Raw genomic sequence first — 10,126 nt, 5'->3', positions numbered from 1 at the left:
CGGCAGCCCAAGATTTGGTCCAGCCGCCAAGGGGTGGCTCGAGTGACTGACGGGCCTTGAACGCTCCCAGGACCCACATCTGGAGAGGGAGGTGGGGGTGGGGTGCTGAAGTCATTCTTGGGGCCCCTGGGGGCGGGCATGGACCTGGGTAAGGCCAGAGAAATTGACACCTCGTGACATCCCTGGAAGAGAAGTACGTTCAGTGTCACTCCAGAGCTGAAACCGCCTTCTGGCTGGTCCCTCCTCACCTACATACTTTTCTAATTTGTCTGGAGCAGGCCGGGCATCTGTATTATCTGGTTATTTAAATATCTGGTTATTTAAAAGCTCTCCATTAAATTCACATACACGAAAATAAAAATTAAAAAAAATTTTAAAAAAAAGAAACAAAAGCTCTCTAATGACCAAGTCCTACACGATAGTGAATAAATTTTTTTGTGTGGTCCCTAAAATTGAGTTCATGCCTTTTCTGAAGTAATAGACGCCCAGAGAAGGGATCGACTTACCCATCATGCCACAGAGATTAATTGGCCCCAGAATTCTTTAGCAGACCGTGTATATGAACGTCCTTTGCAATCATATAAATTAACTGGGAAAACCTCATTTAGTATGTTACATGCCTAGCGTTTTGTGCCTGAACACCTTACAAGAACCAGGGACTATTGCCCCAATATTATATTTCAGGAAAGGAAGGCCCAGACAAATGGTGTCACTGGTCCACTTTCACCCAGTTGGTAAATGAAACCAGAAATTATAGCTGTACCACAGAAAGGTGAAAACGTTTCTTTTATAATTTCACATACAATCTTTAATGGACCCAGTGTCCAACACATTAAAGCAAGTGCTCAGGAGTGACATCAAGATGTAAAAAATAGTCCTGTCCTCAGGGAGTTTAGGTCTTGGAGAAAAGAGACCCAAGGAGACACAAGACAAAGGGGAAAGAGAAGGAGCGCTGAAGACTGAGGACCCTGCCTGTGGACTGAAGTGAGGATGGGGACACCCGATGCCCGGAATATGACAGTTTGGAGGGGCCTGAAGGACTCTTCTATTCTCTATCAGAAAAACAGAATTACTCTCCTAACCAGAAAAGGTATTTCAATTTATATTTTCCATCACAGCACTTTTCTGGTGATAATTTAATGTGTTTTAAAAAATGTATCACAGTGATGGCCTGGTGTGAAATAAATAATAAAATTTTAAGAATTAAAAAATATAAAAATCTTTTATATAGACATTAGGAGTTACAAGGATAACTGTGAATTATAATTAGTAATTAAATTGAAATACTGATTATTTTCATTTTTATTTAATTATTTAATAAAACCTATTTAACATTTAATATTTATCAGTAATTAAATCTAATTGTTAATATTTATTATTATAAATTATTTTAGAATTAAAAATAAGTGTAGAAGCGAGGCATGGTGGCTCAAGCCTGTAATCCCAACACTTTGGGAGGCTAAGGTGGGAGGATTGCTTGAGCCCAGTAGTTCAAGACCAGCCTGGGCAACATGGAGAAACCCTGTCTCAATACAAAAAAATGAGCCATGTGTGGTGGTGCGTGCCTGTAGTCCCAGCCATTCTGGAGGCTGAGGTGGGAGGATGACTTGAGCCTAGGCAGTCAAGGCTGCAGTGAGCCCTGATCTTGCCACTGCACTCCAGTCTGGGCAACAGAGCAAGACCCTGTGTCAATATACATATGGACAAACTTAAAATTTAAAATGAAAGCATACTACTGATACAGAATTGAGTAGAGATGCAAAGCTAGTCCTATAACCAGAACAATAAAGATAAAAAGGAGAGTGGAAGAAGGTATGTCATGAATTTCATGATAAATGGCAATTGCAAATATCCTGTAGCAGAACAAAACAACAAAACTGTAGATAAAACATATCCAACCCTTTGGAAGGCCAAGGAGGGAGGATTGTTTGAGCCCAGAAGTTGGAGACCAGCCTGGGCAACATAGTGAGACCCTGTATCTAAAAAGGAAGAAAGAAAAAAAAAAAAAGGATGATAAAGTAGACAATATTGAAAGCCATTTTCTGCAAATACATAGTGAATTTGATCAGTAATTTTCTTCCAACAGTGCAAAAATGAATAGATATTAGTTGCCTGAAATAAAAATCAAATATCCAACAAAAAATATTGACTATCTAATAGTATCTAAGCTAGTAAATTTGGCCAGTTATAAAATGTCTTAAATTTTTATTTAAAAAAAGAAAACCATATTTATAAGAAGAGGTGATAAAGAGAAATTATTTCAGTTATGAAGATTTTGTTAGAAAACTATGAGAAAAAAACTATTTTTTGTTTTCAAAAAGTGAAAGATTAAGTTACCAAACAGTTGCTAAAGAATACCAGATGGCTGAGCGTGGTGACTTATGCCTGTAATCCCAGTACTTTGGAAGGCCAAGGCAGGAGGATCATTTTAGGCCTGGAGTTCGAGACCAGCCTGGGCACTGTAGCAAGACCCGTCTCTATTAAAAAAAAAAAAAAAAAAAAAAAAGAATACAAGACCTTGCTAACAATAGCAAAGATCAATTAATTCAAAATTTGAAAAACTGTAATTTATTTAGCTTTAGAGTACTCTCGTGATATGAGATTGCCAAATTAATACTTTGGGTGCATTTCTTTTCTCAAAGGACTTGCAAATTTACAAAGAAGTGTTGAAGAAAAGCCACACATTGGCAGGTAATGTTTGCAAAAGACAGATCTGATGAAGAACAATATTTTTAGAATATACAAAGAATACTTAAAACTCAACAGTAAGAAAATAACCTGATTTAAAGCAGGCCAATGACCTGAACATCTGTTCACCAAAGAAGATACACAGATGCAAGTATGCATATGAAAAGATGCTTGACATCATGTCATTAGGGAACTGCAAATTAAAACAAGTAGATACCACTGCATACCTAGTAGAATGACCAAAATTTAGAACACTGTCAGCACCAAAGGTTGCAAAGATATGTAGCAATAGTAACTTGTTCATTACTGGTGAGAATGCAAAATGTGCAATCACTTTGGAAGACAGTTTGGTGGTTTCTTACAAAAGTAACCATACTTTTACCATAAGATTCACCAATCACACTCCTTAGTATTTATCCAAAGGAATTGAAAACTTATCTCCACACAAAAACCTGCACATAGATGTTTATAGCAGCTTTATTCATAATTTATCCAAAACTTGGAAACAAGATGTCTTTCAGTAGGTAAGTGGATAACTGTGGTACTTCTGAATAATGGAATGTTATTTAGAGTTAAAAAGAAATGCATTCACTTTGGGAGGCCGAAGTGGGTGGATTGCTTGAGGCCAGGAGTTTGAGACCAGCCTGGTCAACATGGGAAAACCCCAATTAGCCGGGCATAGTGGCGTGAGCCTGTAATCCCAGCTACTCGGGAGGCTGAGATATGAGAATCGTTTGAACCTGGGAGATGGAGGTTGCAGTGAGCCAGTGCCACTGCACTTCAGCCTGGGCAACAGAGCAAGACTCCTCTGTCTCAAAAAAAAAAAAAAAAAGAAAGAAAAGAAAAAAGAAAAAGAAAAAGAAAAGAAACGATCAAGCCATGAAAACACATGAAGGAAACTTAAATGTATGTTACTAAAAAGCCAACCTGAAAAGACTGCATACTATATGACTCCAACTGATGCAGGGCAAGCAAGCCAAAAATTAGGGCTTAGCCCGGGAAGAATTCAAGGGTGAAGTGGTGGTGTTAGCAACTTTTACTGAAGCAGCAGTGTACAACAGCAGAACAGGTACTGCTCCTTGCTGAGCAGGGCTAACCCATAAGTAATGTGCCCAGAGTAGCAGCTCAGGGGCAGTTCTGCAGTAATATACCTGCTTTTAGTTAAGTGCATGTTAAGGGGGATTATGCAGAAATTTCTAGAAAAAGAGTGGTAACTTCGGAGTAGGTACAGAGGAAAGAAGTCGATAATGTCCTGTTGTTGCCATGGCAACGAAAAACTGACATGGCGCTGGTGGGCGTGTCTTATGGAGAGGTGCTTTAACCTCGTCCCTGTTTCGGCTAGTCTTCAATCTGGTCCGGAGTAAAGTCCCTGCCTCCGGAGTTCACTCCTGCTTCCTGCTTCACAACTGTATGACACTCTAGAAAAGACAGTAACTATGGACACAGTCAAAAGATTAGTTGATAGAAATTGGGTGACAGGAAGTGTTGAAAAGGCAGAACACAGGATTTTTAGGGCAGTGAAACTTCTGTGATACTATAATGGTGAATACATGACATTATACATTTGTCAAAACCCATAGAAAGCACAACACCAAGAATAAACCCTAATGTAAATTACAGACTTTCGTTGATAATGACGTGTCAATGTAAGTTCAATTGTAATAAATGTACTACTGTGGTGCTGGATGTCTATGGTGGGGGGACATTTTTGCTTCAATAGTTACAGTTGAAGTAAATGTTTGTGTTTCCCACAATGCATATGTAGAAACTCTCACATTCAATGTGATGGTCTTTGGAGGTGGGCTCTTTGGGTGATAGTTAGGTTTAGTTGAGATCCTAGCAGATCGAGTCTTCATGATGGGCATGATGGGACTGGTCCCTTATAAGAAAAGACCAGAAAGCTAGCTCTCTCTTTGCCATGTGAAGACATAGCAGGAAGGTAGCCATCTGCAAGCTAGGAAAGGGCCTTCACAAAGAATCAACTCAGACCTCAGAACAGTGAGAGATAAATTGTCGTTGTTTAAGTCACTCAGGCTGTGGTATTTTGTTTCAGCAGCCCAACCTAAGACTGTTAATTGGATTAGAAATTTCCTTTTGGGGATGGTGTGTGGCGGGCGGGGGGCGGGGAGTACCTTTGTTAAGCTTTTATATCAATGAGTTTGTAGGCTTTTCTTTTTTGGTCATTGACTAGGACAGTTTAAATAGTATGAGTGTGAAGGAGATTGTTGGTCATCTATTCGATGTCCCTTCTCTGTTTTTTAATATGAGAACTCCTGATTTTCAGCCAACTACCCTGGAAAAAAAGCTAATCTTTCTGACTTCTTAAGTGTGGCCATGTACTAAATTCTGGCTAATGCAAGGCAAGCCAAAGGTTTTATGATAGGTTTTAGGACACTAGAGTAAAAGAGAGCTGTTGCACACATGCTCTTCACCCTACTTTTGTGTCCTTTTTTCCATCCTACAACTTGGGTTGTGAGTATGATGGCTGGAACTTTAGTGGCTCTCTTGGATCCCAGGGGTAATTGAGGGGTGGCTGGAAGGAATCTGTGATTTTCTGGAGTTTCCATACACAAACAAGACCTGGATTTTCTGGGCTTCCCAGACTTCCACATCTAGACTTGCTTTAAATGGGAGAGAAATAAACTTGTTTCAGCCACTGTCATTTTGGGCTATTTTATAGAACTTAATCTAATCTTCAAGGGTACATGAATTGCTTTTCCTTAAAAAAAAAATCAGCCATAAAATCATCTTCTTTTTTCTTTTGTTCCCCACATTATTTAGTTGGAGCTCTGTAACTTTTTTTTTTTTTTTTTTTGAGACAAGGTCTTGCTCTGTCACTTAGGCTGGAATTCAGTGGCATGACCATGGCTCACTGCAGCCTTGCCCTCCTAGGCTCAAGCAATCCTCGTCTCAGCCTCCTGAGTAGCTGAAACTAAGGCACATGCCACCATGCCCAGCTAATTTCTTTTCTTTTAGAGATGGGAGCCTTGCCCAGGCTAGTCTCAAACTCCTAGCCTCAAGTGATCCTCCCATCTCAGCCTCCCAAAGTGACAGGATTACAGGTGTGAGCCACCATGCCTGGCTGCTCTGTAAGTGTCTGAATTTCATTTTGTATTTATCAGTCTGTTTAGATTTTCTTTCCCTTCTTGGGTCAGTTAGGCCATTGGTTTCTTTTTAAAGGTTTTCAAATTTATTTGCATCTAATTCTTCAAATTACTCTCAAAATTATTCCAGTATATATTCTTTTGTTCCTATTTTCTTCTGTATTCTTTATTAAAATAGCTAATGATTTATCTAGCAGGACTTATATTCTTTCCATAACTTTCCTGCACCCCAATTAATCTCCAATTTTATATTTCTTCTGGCCTTCCTTATAGTTTCCACAGGTTTATTTTATTCATTTTTTAAAACTTTTATTTAATTGTTTATTTTATTATCATTCTTTCTTATTCAGCAATCTAAGTGCTTAGGGATATAGAATTTCCTCTAAGCAGCATATGCTAGGCTTTAACAATGTTAGGGAGGCCTCCCCTTTCTGGGGAAGACCACACTTACATTAACACAGGACTGTGGGATGCCAAGAGGTAGAGAAGAGCTTATGAATATCCAGATTACATCTTCACTGATCCTGCACAAAGGTGGGGTTCCTCGGTTACCCACTGGGTCCTATTACCCAAGTCTGGGTCAGCATACCGAGACTACGGGTATATAGAACAAGTGCAACTGGCGATAATCCTTCTGTTGGGGAGAAAAATCTTTTTTTTCTATTCATCTTAGGTTCTCCATCTGTGGCCCTATCAAGTAGACTAACAAAAGACAGATTGACAAGACAGAAACAAAGCATGTGCATTGTACAAACACAGGGGAGTACTGAGATGAATACTCAAAAGAGGATTTAGAACTTGGGCTTATATAGCATTTTAAGAAAAGAATACATTTTTTAAGTGACAAGGAAGACGAAAAGGACTTTGAGTTTCTAGTGCAGTAAATTGTGGGAAGGCAACTTTTTCTTTCCCTTTTTTTTTTTTTTTTTTTAAAAAAAAAGACTTCTCTGGTGCTATGTCCAGGCTGATAAGAGTCTAAAGTCTCTGGTGACTAACTTTTGTTCTTCCCCGAGTAAGAAGACACCTTCACAATTTCATATCCTGCTTTTAGGCAAATAGGGAGAGGGCAGAGGTGTTTGTTTGTTTTTAATCTATTTTTTTTCTCAATTGTCTTCAACTCAAAATACTTCTTATGCCAAAGATGGCATATTCTGCTACCCTTCACTTACTACTTACAACCCAGCCTCTATCATCATAATTAGAACTTCTGACCCTGGGGAACATGGGCAATAGTTTGAACTCTTTTATATCTCCCTTAGGCAGAGATGGAGGCCCAGCCATGCCTCTGACATCTAGACACAACTGTTGCTTCATTTCTCCTATTCTCAGAGGTGATGTTGTAGGACTTCAACAAATATCAGTAAACATTAATTTTTTTTTTCCTTGAGGCACAGCATGATCTTGGCTTACTGCAGCTGCTGCAGGCTCAAGCAATTCTCCTGCCTTGGCCTCACGAGTAGCTGGGTTACAGGCCCCTACCACCATGCCCGGCTAATTTTTGTATTTTTAGTAGAGACAGGGTTTCACCATGTTGGCCAGGCTGGTGTTGAACTCCTGACCTCAAGTGATCCACCTGCCTCAGCCTCACATAGTTCTGGGATTACAGGCGTGAGCCACCATGCCTGGCCATCAATTTTTATGTCAACTCTAAATTATAACATTTAGCAATTTTGTGACTTTTTATGGTCATCATTAATGTTGTTTATGTTTTAGTTGTAGTCCTGTCATTACTCACTCGGGTATGGTAATTTGGTCTTTTTCAAAATGAAGTTAAGGTCTATTTGCTCTTCTCTGAATCATAATAAGAACTGCCAACAGCCATTTCAGCAATAACTATTTACTGAGATTTTAAAATATTTCAAGGTAATTGGTCCTAGCAGACTGGAAAATACCAAATTCTTTTCCAGAACTGAATCCCCCATCAAAGTTCAATTTTACTCATAATTCCCTTTTCATTTGAAGCATCTCATTGTAAGCCAGTCTTAACCCTTCTCTCACACTTTGCTTGGCTGTTTCTCAGGTAGAACTCAGTAAGTCTGGTAGCCTCCAGGACTGCCGCTTAGATTATTAAACAACATGTCAGTGGTTGGAAGAGTCAATGTTATTTTGATTTTTCTGTTTTGTTTTGTTTTAAATGCAGTTGGCGGATAATTGCAGCTTTCTTTCATTCCCTACATGAGTTCAAATGGCAGCAAACAAACTAGGAGAACGCAGACCTTCTGACTTGTGGGTACCCCTACTCATCACCTGAAGACCCTTGGAAATCAAAGCCCTGACCCATTAAAGACGGATGGAGACAGCAACATACGATCATCACTATTATCTTGCTTTGCCCCAGTCCAGGTTAACCATCTGTGGTATTTTTAGTTGCTAAGTCCATATATTCAACATAAATCAATTATATATCCACTAAAATCTCAGCACTAGTCTAACTACTAAGGAAATGACAGCGAAGAAAACAGACCAAACGTCTGCCCTTATGGGATTTATATTATTTTCTCTGTGCTGGTTAAACCAAGGAGCTTCTGCTCTTTTCCTTAGTCACCTGGGGGAGGCAGAAACAAAGGAGAATATTGATAAACCTGGAAATAGGGCCGGAGAGTATCAGAGAAGGAAGCCTTCGGGAAAGTAAAGATGTGGCAGCCAGTATTCCCGTTATAAAAGGATACAACTCCGGCCTCATAGTCCAGAAAAATTCCCACAAGCAGGGGCTGCTCATGCAGATGAAGGGAAGTTGGGGGAGAAGTAAGTGCTACATAGCCTTTCTTTTTGCACAGCCTGAGGGTCCAGAATCCAGACTGAGGCTCTTGCTTCATGCCAGTGCCCCTCTGCACATTTTCCATACAAACTCCTAAATCCCATCCGGTTCCTTCGCCAACATCCACTTCAAAGTAACGTCTTCCTGAGGTGAAGCCTTCACAACCCAAGACACAGGGGAAGGCAGTAAATCTCCTGGAAGATGTGTCCTGATTCTCCTGGGTGTATCCACGAGTCACTTGTCTCCGATCCTCAGAGAGAATTAGTTCGTGATGAGCTGTATCTGGATCCAGAGTCACACTAACTGCAAAACAAAACAAAACAAACAAAAATAATTTTGTTGCTGTGAAGAACACAGGTTATTTTATTTTATTTTATTTTGAGATGGAGTGTTGCTGTCACCCAGGCTGGAGTGCACTGGCACTATCTCAACTCACTGCAACCTCCACCTCCTGGATTCAGGCAATTCTCCTGCCTCAGCCTCCGGAGTAACTGCGACTACAGGTGCGCACCACCACAAGTGGCTAATTTTTTTAAATTTTCTGTAGAGATGGGGTTTCGCCATGTTGGCCAGGCTGGTCTCAAACTCCTGACCTGAAGTGTTCCACCCACCTCGGCCTCCCAAAGTGCTGGATTACACAGGTGTGAGCCACCATGCCCAGCCACAAGTTATTTTCAATAAAACCAGCCTGTGTTCAAACCCAACTATTGTTTCTTATAAACTGGGTGAGCTTAGGCAAATCATTTAACTTTCTGAGCCTCAGTTTGTTAACTATAAAGTGGAAATTACCGTATTTGTTGCAGAGAATGGTGGGTAGGATTGAATAAGCTTATGTTTGCTTAATGCTTGGTAAAATTCCTGGTACATGGTAACCACCTAATAAGTGGTAGTTGTTGGGGTGATCAGGCCCAACACCAGGCCGTGGGGGCTACAAAGTCCGGCGGGGTCAAAGGAATGAGAAAAGACAAGTTAAGAGTGCATAAAGTGGGTCCAGGGTGCCAGCACTAGATTGGAGGCTGCAAAGGCCCTAAGCTCTGGGAGCCCACACTATTTATTGGTGATCAAACAAAGAAGCAGGTGGTGAGGACGTGAGGGTAAACAGGTGAGGGCATGAGGACATGGGGGTAGAAAGGTAGTGGTGCATTAAGCGTAGCTGTGACAGTTTAGCATTTTCTTTGACACATGTAGAATATACTCTGCTGCTTGAGATAGTAGAGGACACGTTTATGAGTGAAAAGCAAGGAACCAACAAGTCTGTGCACTTTCCAGAGGCTATGAGGGGTTTTATGCCCTGAGCCCTGGGTTCCATCCAAGCCACAAGGGGTTTTATGCCCTAGGCTTAGATTTGTGGTGCGGCAGGGCAGCCTTCCACCATTTGGCACAGAGCTTGGTGTTCCAAAGGCCACGAGGGGTTTTGGACCCTGGACCCCGGACATCTTCCAAGACTCTTTTACATTATGACAGACAAGCCAGTCCTGCTTCAGCTCTTCTAACAACATGTAGTAATAATGATATCATCAACATCATCTTCGTCTTAATTATTCAAGGATGCCAAGGTACAGAACTAACCTGTTAA

General features: G+C 40.5%; 1 protein-coding gene across 1 annotated transcript in view; it reads right to left on the bottom strand.

Annotated features, from left to right (window-relative positions):
• Positions 1-785: 785 nt before the first annotated feature.
• Positions 786-10,126, bottom strand: part of TRIM38 (tripartite motif containing 38) — a 28,430-nt gene continuing 19,089 nt past the window's right edge. The window contains exon 8 of the mRNA NM_006355.5: positions 786-8,853. Coding sequence (NP_006346.1) covers positions 8,330-8,853 — 524 coding nt within the window. The 3' untranslated portion in view covers positions 786-8,329. The remainder of the gene's footprint in view (positions 8,854-10,126) is intronic.

The sequence above is a fragment of the Homo sapiens genome, chromosome 6 (assembly GCF_000001405.40).
Source record: "Homo sapiens chromosome 6, GRCh38.p14 Primary Assembly".
NCBI lineage: Eukaryota > Metazoa > Chordata > Mammalia > Primates > Hominidae > Homo > Homo sapiens.
This window is presented reverse-complemented; position numbering and strand designations above follow the sequence as displayed.